The sequence below is a fragment of the Homo sapiens genome, chromosome 2 (genome assembly GCF_000001405.40).
Source record: "Homo sapiens chromosome 2, GRCh38.p14 Primary Assembly".
Classification (NCBI taxonomy): domain Eukaryota; kingdom Metazoa; phylum Chordata; class Mammalia; order Primates; family Hominidae; genus Homo; species Homo sapiens.
In genome coordinates this window covers 6,898,240-6,918,743 of record NC_000002.12, presented here as the reverse complement: position 1 = coordinate 6,918,743, position 20,504 = coordinate 6,898,240, and the positions used below count along the sequence as shown (strand labels likewise).

At 44.3% G+C, this 20,504-nt stretch overlaps 1 protein-coding gene and 1 long non-coding RNA gene across 5 annotated transcripts in view, besides 3 other annotated features; one reads left to right on the top strand and one right to left on the bottom strand.

Moving 5' to 3' along the window:
• Positions 1–1,332, bottom strand: part of RNF144A (ring finger protein 144A) — a 158,956-nt gene extending 157,624 nt beyond the window's left edge. For all 4 annotated transcript variants that reach the window (NM_001349185.2, NM_001349181.2, NM_014746.6 and 1 more), the window contains exon 1: positions 1,122–1,332. The gene's annotated coding sequence lies outside the window, so the exon portion shown is untranslated. The remainder of the gene's footprint in view (positions 1–1,121) is intronic.
• On the top strand, positions 62–6,468 carry GRASLND (glycosaminoglycan regulatory associated long non-coding RNA). Its single transcript, NR_033997.1, has 5 exons — positions 62–342; positions 1,520–1,894; positions 2,777–2,921; positions 4,394–4,551; positions 5,080–6,468. It is a non-coding gene; the product is annotated as a glycosaminoglycan regulatory associated long non-coding RNA (long non-coding RNA).
• Positions 1,003–1,492: a silencer, noted in NCBI's record as "silent region_11122". NCBI's record gives its function as "represses an Ori minimal core promoter by ATAC-STARR-seq in GM12878 lymphoblastoid cells {active_cell/tissue: GM12878}" and the evidence as "EXISTENCE:reporter gene assay evidence [ECO:0000049][PMID:35858748]".
• Positions 8,679–8,808: an enhancer, noted in NCBI's record as "active region_15247". NCBI's record gives its function as "activates an Ori minimal core promoter by ATAC-STARR-seq in GM12878 lymphoblastoid cells {active_cell/tissue: GM12878}" and the evidence as "EXISTENCE:reporter gene assay evidence [ECO:0000049][PMID:35858748]".
• Positions 8,939–8,988: an enhancer, noted in NCBI's record as "active region_15246". NCBI's record gives its function as "activates an Ori minimal core promoter by ATAC-STARR-seq in GM12878 lymphoblastoid cells {active_cell/tissue: GM12878}" and the evidence as "EXISTENCE:reporter gene assay evidence [ECO:0000049][PMID:35858748]".

Here is a 20,504-nt window from a genome sequence, read left to right as displayed (position 1 = left end):
CGCCCAGGCGGGAGTGCTGTGGCGCGATCTCCGCTCACTGCAAGCTCCGCCTTCCGGGTTCACGCCATTCTCCTGCCTCAGCCTCCCGAGTAGCTGGGACTACAGGCGCCCGCCACTGCGCCCGGCTAATTTTTTGTATTTTTAGTAGAGAGGGGGTTTCACCGTGGTCTCGATCTCCTGACCTCGTGATCCGCCCGCCTCAGCCTCCCAAAGTGCTGGGATTACAGGCGTGAGCCACCGCGCCCGGCCAGTTCAATGGATTTTAAAAATTATTATTCTCTAGAAAAAAGACCACGAACTTTGGAGTGGACATCCTGAGACCTGCCTACGAAGACCATTAGGGTAAAGAAGTCACCCCTTCACCCCAGGACCAGGAAGCCTCCAGGATGGCATAAGCGACCAAACAGCTGGGAGCCAAGCACAGTGCAGGGGGCTTGGGGTCGGCGGCCGGAGGCTGGGGTGGGTAAGACCCGCAGGGAACTCCGGGGCTCGGGCGGCGGCTCATTCCCCGGGAAAGGGCTCGCGGTGGGGACCAGGGGCAGTAGCAGCCGCGGACCCCGCGCGCAGGGGATGTGCGGGGCATCCTCTTGGCCAGTTCCGACCTTCCCCGCCGGTGGCGATGCCCCGGACGCGTCGTCCTTTCCCAGACCTCCTCTTGGGGCCGAGGCTCCAGCCCCAGGGTCTGCGGGCGGGGCCGCGAACCTTGAAAGCCCCCGCCGCCAGCTCGCCCGCGGGACCCTGGCCCGGGGCGCCCTGTCCCGCGCCGCAGCGCAGACCCGCGACCGCGCAGGGCAGGCAGGGGGACGCCAGGTCCCTAAGCGCCCACTGCCCTGGGGCGCGGGCGCCGCCTGCGAGAGGCAGGGCAGGGCAGGAGCAGAGCAGGGACGAGGTCAGGGACACGGGCAGGGCAGGGCGGGCGTCCTCTGAACGGAGCCCGCGAGTCCCCGCCCGGGACGCTGCCCCCCGCCCGCTGCCACCGGGCGCCGGGGCAGGACCCAGCGGGGCAGGCGCGGCCGCAAGCCCCGAGCCCCAAGGCCGGCCGCGCAGCGCCGCGTCCCGCCCTCCCCGCTCCGCGGCCGGCCCGGGCGATGCGGACACAAAGGGGACGCGCGTCACTCTACCTGGGCCTGCTCGTCCGCGGTGCGCGGCTCTGACGCCTCCGCCCGGTACTGGCTGCGGGGTGCCGGGTGCCCGCAGTTTGCCGCCCGCGCCTCCCCGCGCCCGCGCAGCCCGCACGGCCCGCACTGCAATGCCAGCCCTGCCGCCTCCCGCCTGCCGAGAGCCCGCGCGGGGAGAAGCGGCTGCGCGGGCGGGGCGCGAGCGCGCACAGAGGCCGGGCACGCGGGAGGCTCGGCCCCGGCCCCGCCCCCGCGCCGAGCCGCACAGCGCCCCCTGCCGCCCGCCTGCGCCGGCCCGAGGCCCGGAGCCGCCCCGCAGGCCCCAGGACAGGCTCCGGCACGAGGAGGGGCTGCGGAGACCGCCCGTGCACGCTAACATGAAAATGCTATTCCTGCTTTAGTGGCCTCCAGAAGACACTCCCCTGATTCCTACACCGAGGGAACACACAGCAGCAAGCTAGGAAAGAAGGGGTGACCCAGCCCAACGCTGTAAACCAGGGCGCGAACCGGCGTTGAGCTGTGCAGCTGCGCCCTGGGCTCCAGTCCTGCTCTGCCGCAGACCCCACCGGAGCCAGCACCTGCCTCCCCGACCCTCGCTGGGGCGGCTGTGAGATGAGCCCAGAGCCTTCCTGAGCCAACCCTCGCAAGGAAAGTCTGTCTGTTCACCCCACTATCCTTGTCTTGAAGGATGAAGAAAAGAGGGCCCCCCGGGAGGTCCCAAAAGGTGGAATGGACATCTGGGATCCAAGCACAGCAATTTCTTTATTTTTCTTAAGGTATCCAGCTTGTTGGAATCTAAGATCTGCGAAGGTATTAATAGAATTCCTGCATCTTCTGCCACTCCCCATAGAAGCTTGAAGTTACACAAATGTTAAATTATACGTCAGATGTGCATATATGAACAAAACCTACGAGTGTGCATGAAATAACACCTTCTTAAATATATAGATTCTTTTTTCTGCAATATTAAATGGAAACCCCACTAGAACATCGTTTTTCCTTAATAGCATACCCTCCACACTGTGTGGTCTAAATTCAAGCTCTACCACCTACTAGCCATTAAGCAAGTTATTAAGGTCTTCGTGCTTCCATTTTCTTACGTGGAAAATGAGGTGGCAATAGTATGTATGAGTTCTTCGGAGGGATTAAACAAGTCAAATAGGCCAAGTGCCATGGCTTACACCTGTAAGCCCAGCACTTTGGGAGGCCAAGGCAGGAGGACTGCTTGAGCCCAGGAGGTCAAGGCTGAAGTGAGCTGTGTTTGCATCACTGCACTCCAGCCTGGGCAGCAGAGTGAGACTTTGTCTCTCAATAAATAAAGAAATAGTCAAATTAAATATAACTGGCAAACTAAAACAACTCCATAGTCCTTAGCTACAATTTGTCTCATTTCTCCAAAGAATTAAATCAGATGATTCTTAACTAACTCAAAGCTCTGCATAATTTGTCTTCTGCTACACATACATCTTTATAGTAAAATAAAATAAAGCTGTCCCCTCTGTATTGAGAAGTTATTCTGGTAAATATTTGACCTCTTCAAATATATGAACGAGCACTTGCCTTCTAATGCCTCAGTTTCAGATTCTTTTTAGAAATGTCATTATTCAAGAAAAATGCACAATGGGAAGAATCTTAACAACAGCACTTTGTTACTTCAGCCTCTCACTAGAGGATGAAAATCGTTCTGCATAAAGGCCTGGGCTTTATGAAAAATATATTCACACCTCCCGTGTCCGAGCTGGGATACCAAAGAAGTTCCTGGTTGAGTACTACTTATGAATGAAGGATTCAGGGGATGCACAGGTGGGTGACTGCAAATGCACAGACGTTGTGCTGTGTTCCCCACAATAAAGGGGTCTGTATTAAGATGCAGGCATTCTCATGGAACACAGACGTATAACACTCAAGCTGGGGGACTGCAAAGGAGCATCTGGGGCTGCAGGAAGAGAGTTAAGGTGCAAAAATGCCCTGACCCAACTGAGACTTGTAATTGCTCATGTGGTAATACATGTGACTTCATTCCCCTGCTCTGTCTTTGTGAATGCAACCATTGTTGGGGAGATAGTGAGAGGGGACACTGGCATTGAAAGTTTTGTTTGCAGCAGGCCTCAAAAGGCACTCAGATGCAGATTTCCCTGCAAAGACTTCCCGGCCTATCATGGAGTTCCCCATCCCTAGATCTCTGATCTCTGAGCTGGTGTAATACTTAGTCTTTGTCTGTGTTGATCATGGCATCTGCCACACTTAATGTTTGTGGCATTCACTTTCTGATGCTTAGATCTTACGATTCTAGAGAACAGCATTTTTCTACATATTCCCTCTTAGGGCCTTGAACATAATAAGTGCTCAATAAATACTGAGTGAAATCCTCTACTCTGAGCTTTGCCTCTGAGCAGCTGTCCTAGTTCTCTCCAACAAGAAGTTTGTTGGGTCTCTCAAGTTCACTTCCACCTGTCACTGTCAGTTTTCAGTCCAGCCCCTTACTCAGGTCTGGCTGGCCCATCTCCCCCAGAGGGCTGTCCCATAGAGCCCATTGTAAAGGACACTCATTGTTGCCAAGAGTTTGTGCCAATGCAGTATGACTCACCCTTCACTCATTGAACAAGCTCTTCCTGATTACCTAGATGGGCAAAATTTCCCTGCTCATGCGAAGCAGGCTGGCGACTCAGTGCTGCAGCAAATGGCCCAGAAGCTGGGAAAGCAGATAGCCGTTCTGACACTTCTCTTCTAGACAGAAAATCAAGGGAAGCTCAAGACCCACACTTGAATTTTTTTTAAAAAATTAGACAAGGGGCTGGGTGTGGTGGCTCATGCCTGTAATCCCAGCACTTTGGGAGGCCGAGGCAGGCAGATCACCTGAGGTTGGGAGTTCAAGACCAGCCTGACCAACATGGAGAAACCCCTGTCTCTGTTAAAAATACAAAATTAGCCAGGCGTGGTGGCACATGCCTATAATCCCAGCTACTCGGGAGGCTAAGGCAGGAGAATCGCTTGAACCCCAGAGGCAGAGGTTGCGGTGAGCCGAGATCGCACCACTGCACTGCAGCCTGGCAACAAGAGCGAAACTCAGTCTCAAAAAAAAAAAAAAAGAAAGAAAAAGAAAAAGAAAAGAAAAAAAATTAGACAAGGAAGTTTATGTGAATTTGTAATCACACATTCCATAAATATAGAAAATTCACTTTTTTTATTTTAAAAATTAACAAATTCCATTTCTTGTTTCTCTAGAGTAGCAGGAAATCAAATGTCAGTTCTCATTCTGACTTTCTCTCCTTAAGGACACAGAGGAATCTGGGGGATATTATGGTTCTGGGAATGTGGAATGTAACGTCTCATCTTCAGCCCATCTGTGCTACTGATCATCTCATTCCAGAAGCCATGCCTTCTCTCAGGAGCAGACAGCACAAGACTTTCCTGCCAGAGGCACAGTCCCCAGGTGAGCCACACAGCCTTCACAGGGTAATGCCAAAGAACAGAGGAGAGTTCCTGCTACTCTCCGGGTCTTCTTGGCAAAGCTTCTGATACAGTCTGGCTGTCTCTCCACCTGAATCTCATCTTGAATTGTAGCTCCCATAATTCTCGTATGTCATGGGAGGGATCAGGTGAGAGGTAACTGAATCATGGGGGTGGGTCTTTCCTGTGCCGTTCTCGTGACAGTGAATAAGTTTTATGAGATCTGATGGTTTTATAAAGGGGAGTTCCCCTGCAAATGTTCTTGCCTGCTGTGACTTTGCTCCTCCTTGCCTTCCGCCGTGATTGTGAGGCCTCCCCAGTTATGTGGAACTGTGAGTCCATTAAACCTCTTTTTCTTTATAAATTACCTAGTCTCAGGCATGTCTCTATTGGCAGTGTGGGAACAGACAGACTAATACAGCTTCCCTTGTCTGTACTCTTACCCTTCTCCCTTCAAAAGCATCCTCTCTTTCTTTTCCAACCTTTCCAACCTCTCGAATAATCTCTGCAGTGGGAGTAGCATCCACATAAGACAGGATGCAGAGATGTCTTCAAGCAGCTTCAAACAAAACTTCAAGAAAGAAAGTGCAAGTGAAAAAGGAAATTCATCCTTCCAGTCACTTAACACAGCACTGTCACGGACACCTTGTGCCTCCTTAAAATTCGTATACTGAAGTTCTAAGCCCCAGTACCCCAGAATGTGACCTTCTTTGGAAATAGGGTCATTGCAGATATGATTAGTTAAGAGGAGATCATACTGGAGTGGGCTTTAATCCAATATGACTGGTGTCCTTATGTAAAGGGGAAATTTGGACACAGACACACACAAGGAGAACACCATGTGAACTGAAGTCAAAGATTTGGGTGATGCTTCTACAAGCCAAGAAATGCCAAAGATGACCAGCAAAGCACCGGCAGCTGGTGGAGGAGCCTGGACCAGATTCTTCCTCACAGCCCTCAAAAGGAACCAATCTTGCCAAAGCTTTGACTTAGACTTCTAGCCCCCTGTGATGGTTAATGTTAAGTGGCAGCTTGACTGGGTTAAGGGATGCCCAGATAGCTGGTAAGACAGTATGTCTGTGTGCATCTCTCAGAGTGTTTCTGGACAAGATCAGCATTTGAATCCTTAGAGTAAAGAAGATCTGCCCTCACCCACGTGCATCACCCTATCTCTGGAGAGCGCGAACAAACAGGAGGAAGGGCACATATGCTCCTTCTGTTCCAGCTGGCACATCCATCTTCTCCTGCCCCCTGACTTCAGAGCTCCTGGTTCTCGGGCCTCAGGATTCCAGCACTTACATGAGAGCGTGCTTCCCCCTCCCTACTCCACCCCTAGGTTCTCCGCCCTTTGGCCTCTGACTGAATTCCACCACCAGCTTTTCAGGGTCTCCAGCTTGCAGACGGCAGATCGTGGGACTTCTTGGCCTCCATAATTATGTAAGCCAATTCCCATAATAAATCTCCTATCTATCTATCTATCTATCCATCTATCAATCATCTATCTAGTCTATCTATCTATCTATCTCTATCCTATTGATTCTGTGTCTCTGAGGAACCCTAATACACCTCCAGAACTGTGAGATGATACATTTCTGTGGTTTAAGCCACTCAGAAGGTGGTACTTTGTTTCACCAGGCCTAGCAAACTAATACAAGTGCATGGAAGGTGACTACTCATGACTGCAACTTAGAGAACAAGGGTTATAATAAAAATAAAAGTGTTATACAAAGGTGGCAAGATAAATGACAATAAATGAAAATATTAACATGTGAATTAAAAAGTAAAGATATTTTTCCTAGCATTCTCCCAGAAAGTAGAGACGCGTCTCTCTTGTTTGCCATCATATCCAGCAATGGCAAGATAAGTTCTAGGCACTTCATAAAAATTTGTTGAATGAAAGAAATGAATCTTCTGTGGTTCTTTATTAACCGGATCTTCTATGCATGGCTCAAATGCAAGCTCCGTAGATTCTACTTAGAACTGAAAAGGACCCAAGAGAAAGTTTTGTCTGATCTTTTCACTTCACTTATGGGAACACTGAGGTTTACCGAGGCCATGCCAGATCCAGGATCCCTGCTTGCTCAAGGCACACATGGTAATATTACAGAAGGCTGATTCAGAGGTCTTTTAACTTTTTATTACACTGCTTTTCTATAGTAATCAATTGAATATGGCCCTTGGGGCTTGACAGAATTTTTAAAGGCTTTCTCAAGTCTCAAAGAATGATTATATTTAACAGCAGACAGACCTCATTGTGGGCAAACATTTAATGCTCACTAAATAGCCATGCATTTTCCCAGATTTTCTGGCCCCCTCACAGTCAGGCCAGGGCATGTGACTCATTTTGTTCCATAGACTGTAGACATAAGCCTCACTTTTGAGCCAAGGCAATGAGAAAGACCTTCATGACACTGAACTTGCCCATCACCATCCCAGTGATAACAGAGCCACATATTGAGGTGGTGGGACCACCAAATGGAGTCAGCTGGATCTGTGGGTTGCCCACTGGTAGGATGATCCTCAGGAGAACATGAACCTGCATGTGTTAAGCTATTGAAATTTTAGGGTTTATTTGTTATGCCAGCATGGTCTTGCCTAAACTAACAACTAAAGCTAACACATTCACTGTAAACTGGTTTTGAGTAGCAGTAATTCACAGGTACTTGAGTCTTGAAGGAGAGCCCAAGTACAATACTAGGTAGGCAGAGTAAGTCATTCAGTCTTAGACATGAGAGCACAGTTGAGGCAGATAGCCAAGAGCTAGGAAAAGATGGGAACCTGGAAGAAATTCAGGTAGCAGATAGGTGCAAGGGGAACACAGTACACAATCCAGGTCTGTGTCCTGGGCAACAACTCAGGTGCCCACAGCTCATTCCTAGTGGATGCTGCCACATGGTAACACGTGAGGTTTAAAATAAAGAGCTATGGGGGAGAAACAGGACTTGCTATTCCACCTACTGAACAGGGCTCAGGTGATATATCGCAAGGTGGATGCTTGAATGCTTCATGAAGATTCCCTACAGAACCAAGGCAGTCATTATCCCGTGAGCTGGGACTGTTGGCTGTGGAAGGCTCACATCCCAGGAATCAATCTTGGCCAAAGGTAGCTGCCTCCTGCAAAACTCCTTCCAAAACCGCTTGCCTGGGACATAACATATGTCTCATTTCATATCTTTGTGTGAAAGTTTGGTCTATTGGGTTGTATTTCTGAGAATCGCTTGGCATACCTTGGGACAACACTGAAGGGCTCCCTAGCCCCAGAGTTCCCCAGCAAATGCATCCCAGCTCCCCTGTGTCCTCATTCTTCTACAGGAACCCTTCCTAAGCATCTCTTAACCACCAACCTCCATCTCAGAGTCTGTTTCCCAGGGAACCTGACCTGAGACAGTAAGATGGGGAAAGTGAGCTCCAGCAAGATTGCAGAAGAAGAGAATCATAAAACATTTTCCTGACAATAGATTGTCTGGCTTGGTAGGACCAGGAGGTTTATCTGTTATGGATAAAGGTGGCAGGTGGGCTTGAGCAGGAATGGACAGAATCTTGGATGCCACCTAAGAATGGAAAGTTCTGGGGGATAATGGGAATAAAAAATAAAAATAGGGGCTATAGAGACCCTTTCTGGATGGAAACATACTTAAAAGGCCCTTTAGAGGTCATTTTGTTTCATTGCTGTATGTTTCTAAGTATTTAACTTTTATTCTGCTATTATTTTAAATGCTCCTCACCTTAGATTATTCAATCTCCTTAAAATACATACAGTACTTAAAAACTCCTCTCTCTCTCTCTTTCTACACACACACACACACACACACACACACACACATCGCCACCACCATCAACAACAATAACAAACGCAAACACTCTCATCAAATCCCCACACCTTGACGGCCTGGAAAACTTCTCCTACTATTTTAAACTCCAGTGCACCACTGACACCTCTAGTAACATTTCTGTCACTCCCCTGGGTTAGCCAATCTTTCTGCTGAGCTGTGCTCACACCACTTTTGTTACTCTCTTATTATATTATCATATTTGTATGTTTGGCATTAGACATGAAAGAATGTAATAGTCCAATGAAAGAATGCAAATTCCTCTTTTTCCTTTCCCCATCTTGCATGTGTATGAAGAACTCTATCAGTCTGTCTTCTCCTTCCTTCTTCTCTCATTTCATATCTTCGTGTGAAAGTTTGGTCTATTGGGTTGTATTTCTGAGAACCTATTCTTATCAGAGGATCACAGGGCAAGACCACAAGCCACTTCCTCTAAAGAAGACATGCACTCACAGTTTCTAATCATCAAGAGGAGAGCAGGCTTCACAGATTGAAACAAGCAAATAACAACAACAAATAAAACCCAGAAACCCAGAAGCTGAGTCCCAGGCAGTTTGGAAGAAAGAAGGACAAAGCCCTCTGCCTGAGCTTGGCTCGGGCTTTGCTGCCAAAGTCAGTTTAGGTTTCATCAAGATCTAGCTATGCATTTCAGTTAGACTCCCTCAGCTCCAGTTTCCTTAGCAATGAAATGAAGGATGATTACACTTCTCTTCTATGGTTTCTCTGAGCATTTAAAATAAAAATTATGCAAAGCACTTAACACCATACTTGGCATGCCCACTTCAGGGCTCAAAACTTTTTAGCTGCTAAAATATGCGCTCTACCCTTAAGGACCATATAGTTTAAGTTAAGAGAAGAATTGTGTGTCCAGTGGTAGGAGGCAATGGCGCATTCCCCCAAGACCGAGAGTATTGTGATTCCATCAGTTGTAGAGCCACCCCCAGGGAGAATGTAAATCTTGGTCAATATTGTGAAATGGGACTATGAAGTCCAATGCCTTAACCCCTATTGAAATTGTATCTCCATCATTAGCCTTAGACAATCTGAATGTTATTTGTTATGGGATCATTTTGGTTAGGACGGGCTAATCTGTGTTACAGTAACAAGTAATCTCAAAATGTGAACTGTCCCATATATGCAGTTTGCTGTGACCGTATTTGTCTCTCCAATACTATCCTCCCAATAAGCACACAAGATCAAGGTTGCCTGTTTTTAGACTCAGCCATCTCAACATGAGGCCTCCTCTGTAATCACTGTGGACCCAAAAGCAAATGTTGTACAGCCTTGTACTAGCAGTTAAATGCACTCATAATTGGCCGGAATTAGTAGCTTTGCTTAACTGAAAGAGGGTGAGAAAGTATAATTTTCTCATGTTCACAGAAGGGGGTATGAATAACTATTCAAAGTCTTTACAACAGGGAGTAAAAATATTTCCTTCAAGGAACAGTGATTAAGGTTACCAGTTTTCAGTGAATAGCTAATGCCTGATATACCACTGAATAAATTAGGGATAGTCATGGTGGCACTGTGACTTGAATTTGAAAACAGGCATCTGATAAGACAAGTCAGATCTTCAGGGGTATTTCATTTGGGGAGTGTCATGTTTTATAAAACTTGAACACCTCTAAGAGGAGTATGTTCTCTAGCTCACCCTGGCTCCCACCACCCTGTGCTGTCTTATATCAAGTTGCTTCACACATGTCTGTATTTCTGATTTTTGAGGCCACTTGAAGGCCGACATTGGACCCCTCACAAAACAGAGCAGAGCATTTTTTTGTTTTGTTTTTTGTTTCCATAGGTTATTGGGGAACATGTGGTGTTTGGCTACATGAGTAAATTCTGTAGTGGTGATTTGTGAAACTTTGGCACCCATCACCCGAGCAGTATACACTGCACCCAATTTGTAGTCTTTTATCCCTCACCCACATCCCACCCTTTCCTACTGAGTCCCCAAGGCCCACTGTGTCATTCTTATGCCTTTGCATCCTGATAGCTTAGCTCCCACTTAAGTATGATAACATACAACCTTTGGTTTTCCATTCCTGAGTTACTTCACTTAGAATAATAGTCTCCAATCTCATTCAAGTTGCTGCAAATGCCGTTAATTCATTCTTTTTTTATGGATGAGTAGTCAGAACATTTTTAGAAGTTTATGTTCTACCGGATTTTTCAGACCTGAGCTCTGGCGAAGCGCTCATCTCAATATTCCCATTAAGATGTAGAATGAAAGACCACCAGAGTCCTCCATGTTTTGTGTGTGTGTGTGTGTGTTAAAACTTTGTTGCTACTTCTACCATCCTTCAACACTTATTTTACCTATTCGTTTACAAGACTGCCTTCTCCACTAAACTTTGAGCACCTTAGCGACAAAACAATCTTATGCTCATTTTTGTGTTTTTAGCACTTGCTATAAAAGCTGATACATCATAGGTGCATACTAAATGAGTAAGTTAACTAACGGGCAGCCGTCTTAAGCCTCCTGTTCTCTAAGGTGTTCTTCCCCAAAACCCAAATGTCCTCTCTTTTTGCTCATGACAATTATCAGGACTTCAAACTGTGCCATGAGTTTTTATCTATTTTGTCCTGCATTACCTCAGATTATGAAGGATGGCTTTCACATGATGTGAACTCATTGGTAACTGTTAGTAGTTACCAGAGGCCACCAAGAGCTGTTTGTATAATTAACTCAAGTCCTTACACTAATCTGCATTGATCCCTCATTTTGCTGATGAGGAAACTGGGCCTTTGTGAACCTAAGTATCGCACCCTTAATCAAACACGGTACTGCAGCTCAAGCCAGGCTGTCCCACGGCAGGTGCCTTTTCTATCACTGCTTTGCCTCTCTTACTCAGTTGTTTAACTCTCTCGTGTGTCTAACTCTTGTCCTAACATTTGTAAATTTCTCAAAGATGAAAAGCCTGACTCTTCTTCTTGGATATTCCCCATAGCGTCTGGCACAGGTCTCACCACACAGTAGATATGCACCAAGCTGTTCCTGAATTAAATCTTTCAACTACAAGGATCTTGCCAGGCATCACCAGGTTGTGGTAGGCAAATAGGTAGGAAATAGCTTAAGTTTGCTCTCTGTTCCCTGCTTTTCCCTCTCCTGGCCAATACCTGAGAGAAAGGTGGGGCTGACACATCCCAACGACAACTTGAAGAACAAGATTAATGTTTGCTAATTCCCCAGACTCCCTCAGTTTTACAGAAAATCAGTGGAGAAACTGCAAGTTTAATCACAACGAAGACATTTCAGGCTCTGTCACAGCGGATGGAGGCAATATTTAAAGGACTGGAAACGTCCATGGGGCCCCAAGTCATAATACTCACAGCACTGCCTACTTCAATAGAAGTGGCTTTATTAACTGCCATCAGACAAAGTCAAGTCAAATCTATTAAATGGCATCAAAGTCAGGTCAAATCTATTAGGTATATTGCATCTTACCATTTAAATGATGGATCATGCTATGGACTGAATGGTCTCCTTCCAAAACTCACATGTCAAAGCTCTGATCCCCTGTGTGACTATATCTGGACACAGGGTCTTTAGCAGGTAGTTAAGTTCAAATGAAGTCCTTATGCAAAATGATGGTGGCCTTTTAAGAGGAGAGAGATCCCTGTCTCCTCCATGTGAGAACACAGGGACAAGGCAGCCATCTGCAAGCCAGGGAAAGAAGCCTGACCAGGAACTTAACCAGTTGGCACCTTGATCTTGGACTTCCAGCCTCCAGAGAAATATATGTGTATTGTTTCTGCCACATGGTATACGGTATGTTTTTATGGCAGCCTGAGCTGACTAATTCAGGTCAGTTTGACTCAACCAGCATTCAAATGCCTGCTGTCTACTAGGCTTCCAGGAAAAAGTGATATCTGAGTTATGATTTAATGAAAAATGAGGTATTCTTCACAAAAGTAGATACCACCAACTACACATATACACAGGTTTTCTGGTTATCCCCACAAATAGATGTCAGAAAACATAAAAGATAAAGCTGAATATAACCCAGGAAGAGAACTGACAAAGGTCAGTCTATTCAGATGTGTTGCTGAGAGGGGTTTAGGAACAAGTTGAGGTGGCCCTGAATGAAAAAAGTAAACAATGTTTGGGCAGTTTTCCAGATTCCCCAAGAATGAACTTTCACAGAGCTTTGTGTGTGTGTGTGTGTGTGTGTGTGTGTGTGTGTGTGTGTGTGTGTGTGTGTGTAGAGAGAGAATATTACTAAAATTAATAGGATACCACTTACATCCATAAACAAATATGTAAACAACTCAAAAACAAATCCAGTGGGTTTTTTTTCAAATGAGCTCTGACTTTTTAATGCCATTGAATGTTTTCTCATCTATTAGTGTGAATTGTTAAGAACTGGCTGTTCTCATTAAAGTACAAAATGCTAATTAACTTTAAAAAGCTTCAGAAGATATAATGTGAAAAATAAAAGTATTGAGTAAGAATGCAATTCTATTAAGCAATATATATGACTGGACAGATGTGAGCTAAATTACCAGTTACCTCTATGTGATACAATTATGGGTAATTTTAATTTTCTTCATTTTGTTTTACTCTGTTTTCAAATATCCTACAAATGTGTATTTTTAATAATAATAAAAATAAATATTGTTGCAATCTTTCTGATCTTTTAAGTCCATTTTAGTAGCATCTGACGTGGACTTGCTATAGTTCTCCTAAGCATATATGGGGGTGTTTTGTGTGATTAAACTTGACCTGGAGGGCTGACAAGATGGCCAAATAGGAACAGCTCTGGTCTGCAGCTCCCAACAAGACCAACAAAGAAGGCGGGTGATTTCTGCATTTCCAACTGAGGTACCTGGCTCATCTCATTGGGACTAGTTGGACAGCAGGTGCAGCCCATGGAGGGTGAGCCAAAGCAGGGTGGGGCATCGCCTCACCCAGGAAGCACAAGGGGTCAGGGAACACCTTCCCCTAGCCAAAGGAAGCCATGAGGGATGGTGCTGTGAGGAACAGTGCTATCCAGCCCAGTTACTATGCTTTTCCCGTGGTCTTCACAACCCACAGACCAGGAGATTCCCTCAGGTGCCTTCTCCACCAGGGACCTAGGTTTCAAGCACAAAATTGGGTGGCCATTTGGGCAGACACCGAGCTAGCTGCAGGAGTTTTTTTTCGCACCCCAGTGGCCCCTGGAATACCAGTGAGACAGAACCGTTCATTCCCCTGGAAAGGGGGTTGAAGCCAGGGAGCCAAGTGCTCTTGCTCAGCGGATCCCACCCCCCCAGAGCCCAGCAAGCTAAGATCCACTGGTTTGAAATTCTTGCTGCCAGCACAGCAGTCTGAAGTCAACCTGGGACACTTGAGCTTGGTGGCGGGGAGGGGCGTCTGCCATTACTGAGGCTTGAGTAGGTGGTTTTCTCCTCACAGTTCAAACAAAGCTGCTGGGAAGTTCAAACTGGGTAGAGCCCACCACAGCACAGCAAAGTGGCTCTAGCCAGACTGATTCTCTAGATTCCTCCTCTCTGGGCAGGGCATTTCTGAAAGAAAGGCAGCAGCCTGGCCAGGTGTGGTGGCTCACACCTGTAATTCCAGCACTTTGGGAGGCCAAGGTGGGTGGATCACAAGGTCAGATGTTCAAGACCAACCTGACCAACACGGTGAAACCCCGTCTCTATTAAAAATACAAAAATTAGATGGGCATGGTGGTGCACACCTGTAATCCCAGGTACTCAGGAGGCTGAGGGAGGAGAATCACTTGAACCCAGGAGGCAGAAGTTGCAGTGAGCTAAGATTGGGCGACTGCGCTCCAGCCTGGGCAACACAGCGAGACTCTGTCTCAAAAAAAAAACAAAAAAAAAAAAAAGAAAAAAGAAAGGCAGCAGCCCCAGCCCCAGTCAGGAGCTTACAGATAAAACTCCCATCTCCTTGGGACAGAGCACCTGGCGGGAGGAGCGGCTGTGGGCGCAGCTTCAGCAGACTTAAATGTTCCTGCCTGCTGGCTCTGAAGAGAGCAGCGGATCTCCCAGCACAGCACTCAAGCTCTGCTAAGGGACAGATTGCCTCCTCAATTGGGTCCCTGACCCCCGTGCCTCCTGACTGGGAGATACCTCCCAGCAGGGGTCAACAGACACCTCATACAGGAGAGTTCCAGCTGGCATCTGGCAGGCGACCCTCTGGAACAAAGCTTCCAGAGGAAGAAGCAGGCAGCAATATTTGCTGTTCTGCAGCCTCTGCTGGTGCTAATCAGGGAAACAAGGTCGGGAGTGGACCTCCGGCAAACTCCAGCAGACCTGCAGAAGAGGGGTCTGACTGTTAGATGGAAAACTAACAAATAGAAATCAGTAACATCAACATCCACAGAAAGGATGCCCATGCAAAAACCCCATCCAAAGGTCACCAACATCAAAGATGAAAGGTAGATAAATCCACAAAGATGAGGAAAAACCAGCACAAAAATGCTGAAAATTCCAAAAACCACAATGCCTCTTCTCCTCCAAAGGATCACAACTCCCCACCAGCAAGGAAACAAAACTGGATGCAGAATGAGTTTGACAGACTGACAGAGGTAGACTTCAGAAGGTGGGTAACAACAAACTCCTCCAAGCTAAAGGAGCATGTCCTAACCCAATGCAAGGAAGCTAAGAACCTTGATAAAAGGTTACAGGAACTGCTAACTAGAATAACCAGTTTAGAGAAGAACATAAATGACCTGATAGAGCTGAAAAACACAGCACAAGAACTTCATGAAGCATACACAAGTATCAATAGCCGAATCGATCAAGTGGAAGAAATGATATCAAAGATTGAAGATCAACTTAATGAAATAAAGCGTGAAGACAAGATTAGAGAAAAAAGAATGCAAAGGAACAAACAAAGCCTCCAAGAAATATGGGATTATGTGAAAAGACCAAATCTACGTTTAATTGGTGTACCTGAAAGAGACGAGGATAATGGAACCAAGTTGGAAAACACTTCAGGATATCATCCAGGAGAACTTCCCCAACCTAGCAAGACAGGCCAACATTCAAATTAGGAAATACAGAGAACACCACAAAGATACTCCTCAAGAACAATCCCAAGACACATAATTGTCAAATTTACCAAGGTTGAAATGAAGGAAAAATATTAAGGGCAGCCAGAGAGAAAGGCTAGGTTACCCACAAAGGGAAGCCCATCAGACTAACAGCAGATCTCTCTACAGAAACTGTGCAAGCCAGAAGAGAGTGAGGGCCAATATTGAACACTTAAAAAAAAAAGAATTTTCAACACAGAATTTCATATCCAGCCAAAGGAAGCTTCATTAACAAAGGAGAAATAAAATCCTTTACAGACAAATAAATGTTGAGGGATTCTGTCACTACCAGGCCTGGGTTACAAGAGCTCCTGAAGGAAGCCCTAAATATTGAAAGGAAAAACTGGTACCAGGCACTGCAAAAACATACCAAATTGTAAAGACCAACAACACTATGAAGAAACTGCATCAATTAACGGGCAAAATAACCAACTAGCATCATAATGACAGGATCAAATTTACACATAACAATATTAACCTTAAATGTAAATGGGCTAAATGACCCAATTAAAAGGCACAGACTGGCAGATTGCATGAAGAGTCAAGACCCATCGGTGTGCTGTATTCAGGAGACCCATCTCATGTGTAAAGACACACATAGGCTCAAAATAAAGGGATGGAGGAATATTTACCAATCAAATGGAAAGAAAAAAAAAAGCAGGGGTTGCAATCCTAGTCTCTGATAAAACAGAATTTAAACCAACAAAGATCAAAAAAGACAAAGAAGGGCATTACGTAATGGTAAAGGGACCGATGCAACAAGAGGAGCTAACTATCCTAAATATACATGCACCCAATACAGAAGCAACCTGATTCATAAAGCAAGTTTTTAGAGACCTACAAAGAGACTTAGACTCTCACACAATAATAGTGGGAGACTTTAACACCCTGCTGTCCACATTAGACAGATCAATGAGACAGAAAATTAACAAGGATATTCAGGACTTGAACTCAGCTCTGGACTGAGCAGACCTAATAGACATCTACAAAACTCTCCACCCCAAATCAACAGAATATACATTCTTCTCAGCACCACATCACACTTATTCTAATGACCACATAATTGGAAGCAAAACACTCCTTACCACATGCAAAACAACAGAAATCATAACAAACAATCTCTCAGACCACAGTGCAATCAAATTAGAACTCAGGATTAAGAAACTCACTCAAAACCGCACAACTACATGAAAACTGAACAACCTGCTCCTGAATTACTACTGGGTAAGTAACGAAATGAAGGTAGAAATAAATAAGTTCTTTGAAACCAGTGAAAACAGAGACACAACATACCAGAATCTCTGGGACACAGCTAAAGCAGTGTTTAGAGGGAAATTTATAGCACTAAATGCCCCCAGGAGAAAGTGAGAAGGATCTAAAATCGACACCCTAACATCACAATTAAAAAAACTGGAGAAGCAAGAGTAAATAAATTCAAAAGCTAGCAGAAGACAAGAAATAACTATGATCAGAGCAGAACTGAAGGAGATAAAAACATGAAAAGCACTTCAAAAAAATCAATGAATCCAGGAGCTAGTTTTTTTGAAAAGATCAACAAAATAGATAGACTGCTAGCCAGACTAACAAAGAAGAAAAGAGAGAAGAATCAAATAGGCACAATAAAAAATGATAAAGGGGATAGCACCACTGATCCCACAGAAATACAAACTGCCATTAGAGAATACTATAAACACCTCTATGCAAATAAACTAGAAAATCTAGAAGAAATGGATAAATTCCTGGACACATACACCCTCCCAAGACTAAACCAGGAAGAAGTCGAATCCCAGAATAGACCAATAACAAGTTCTGAAATTGAGGCAGTAATTAATAGCCTACCAACCAAAAAAAAAGCCCAGGACCAGATGGATGCATAGCCGAATTCTACTAGAGGTACAAAGAGGAGCTGGTATCATTCTTTCTGAAATGATTACAAACAATAGAAAAAGATGGACTCCTCCCTAACTCATTTATGAGGCCAGCATCATCCTGATACCAAAACCTGGCAGAGACACAACAAAAAAAGAAAATTTCAGGCCAATATCCCTGATGAACATTGATATGAAAATCCTCAATAAAATACTGGCAAATCGAATCCAGCAGCACATCAAAGAGCTGATCTACTGTGATCAAGTCGGCTTCATCCCTGAAATGCAAGACTGGTTCAACATACGCAAATCAATAAATGTAATCCATCACATAAATAGAACCAATGACAAAAACCACATGATTATCTCAATAGATGCAGAAAAGGTCTTTGATAAAATTCAACACCCCTTCATACTAAAAACTCTCAGTAAACTAGGTATTGATGGAACGTATCTCAAAATAATCAGAGTTAATTATGACAAACCTACAGCCAATATCATACTGAATGGCCAAAAGCTGGAAGCATTCCCTTTGAAAACTGGCACAAGACAATGATGCCCTTTCTCACCACTCCTATTCAGCATAGTATTGGAAGTTCTGGCCAGGGCAATCAGGCAAGAGAAAGAAATAAAGGGTATTGAAATAGGAAGAGAGGAAGTCAAATTGTCTCTGTTGGCAGATGACAGGATCGTATATTTAGAAAACCCCATCGTCTCAGCCCAAAATCTTTTTAAGCTGATAAGCAACTTTGGCAAAGTCTCAGGATACAAAATCAATGTGCAAAAATCACAAGTATTCCTCTACACCAGTAGACAAATAGAGAGCCAAATTATGAGTGAACTCCCATTCACAATTGCTACAAAGAGAATAAAATATCTAGGAATACAACTTACAAGGGATGTGAAAGACCTCTTCAAGGAGAACTACAAACCACTGCTCAAGGAAACAAGAGAGACACAAACAAATGGAAAAACATTCCACGCTCATGGATAGGAAGAATCGATATAGTGAAAATGGCCATACTGCCCAAAGTAATTCGTGGATTCAATGCTATATCCATCAAGCTACCATCGACTTTCTTCACAGAATTGGGAAAAACTACTTTAAATTTTATTTGGAACCAAAAAAGAGCCCATAGAGCCAAGACAATCCTAAGCAAAAAGAACAAAGCTGGAGGCATCACGCGACCTGACTTCAAACTAGAGTACAAGGCTACAGTAACCAAAACAGTATGGTACTGGTACCAAAACAGATATATAGACCAATGGAACAGAACAGAGGCCTCAGAAATCATGCCACACATCTACAACCATCTGATCTTTGAGAAACCTGACAAAAATAAGCAATGGGGAAAGGATTTCCTATTTAATAAATTGTGTTGGGAAAACTGGCTAGCCATATGCAGAAAACTGAAATTGGACCCCTTCCTTACACCTTATACAAAAATTTATTCAAGATGGATTAAAGACTTAAACGTAAGACATAAAATCATAAAAACCCTAGAACAAAACCTAGGCAATACCACTCAGGACATAGGCATGGGCAAAGACTTCATGACTAAAACACCAAAAGCAATGGCAACAAAAGCCAAAATTGACAAATGGGATCTAACTAAACTAAAGAGCTTCTGCACAGCAAAAGAAACTTTCATCAGAGTGAACAAGCAACCTATGGAATGGGAGAAAATTTTTGCAATTTAGCCACCTGACAAAGGGCTAATACCCAGAATCTACAAGGAACTTAAACAAATTTACAAGAAAAAAACAAACAAACCCATCCAAAAGTGGGCAAAGGATATAAACAGACACTTCTCAGAAGAAGACATTTATGTGGCCAACAAACATATGAAAAAAAGGTCAACAACACTGGTCATTAGAGAAATCAAATCAAATCAAAACCACAATGAGAAATACCATCTCACGCCTGTTAGAATGGTAATCATTAAAAAGTCAGGACATGACAGATGTTGGAGAGGATGTGGAGAAACAGGAATGCTTTTATATTGTTGGTGGGATTGTAAATTAGTTCAACCATTGTGGAAGACATTGTGGTGATTCCTCAAGGATCTAGAACCAGAAATACCATTTGACTCAGCAATCCCATTACTGGGTATATACCCAAAGGATTATAAATCATTCTACTATAAACACACATGCACACGTATGTTTATTGCAGTGCTGTTCACAAATAGCAAAGACTTGGAACCAACCCAAATGCCCATGAATGATAGACTGGATAAAAACAATGTGGCACATATACACCATGGAATACTATCCAGCCATAAAAAAGGATGCGTTCATGTCCTTTTCAGGGACATGGATGAAGCTGGAAACCATCATTCTCAGCAAACTGACACGAGAATAGAAAACCAAACAATGCATGTTCTCACTCATAAGTGGGAGTTGAACAATGAGAACACATGGACACAGGGAGGGGAACATCACACACTGGGGCCTGTTGGGGGGTGGGGGGTTAGGGGAGGGATAGCATTAGGAGAAATATCTAATATAGATGACGGGTTGATGGGTGCAGCAAACCACCATGGCACGTGTATACCTATGTAACAAACCTGCACGTTCTGCGCATGTATCCCAGAACTTAAAGTATAATACACATACACATACACACACATATATATATGCTATAGAAATTACTTTGACATATACAATGGTTTGCTACTTTCATTATTCTCCACTATTCATTGTGTAGAGTGTATATATTCATAATTGATAAATTCAAATGTGCATAAATTTAAAATTTTTATGTAACTAGACTTATTTTCTATCTCCAGGCTCCAGTTCTAGTTAACGTAAGAAACAATATTGTCACTTCTAGACAAACATGGTCAAATAAAATTTTGGATTAAAAAAAGAAAGAATTAAATGCAACATAAAATATCTTCCCTTAACACATAAGATACCTCCGTGAAATTGTTCCTTGCTTTCCCAATTAAATGTGTTTTACAAAACTAACACTCACATTTAAAACTGAAAACATAAAGCAAAACACTATATAGGCTGAATTTGAATTTACTCTAATGTTAGAAGTCCTTATTTCTCCCCTTTAAGAGAAATTAACATTTGAATATTTTAAACATTAAGGCCTTGCAAATCCTGACAGTGCATTAGGTGGTGGTGGTGGGGGTGGGGGTGGTGTGGGCGTGGCCTGTGAATAATGGTGGATAAAACAGCTGAAAA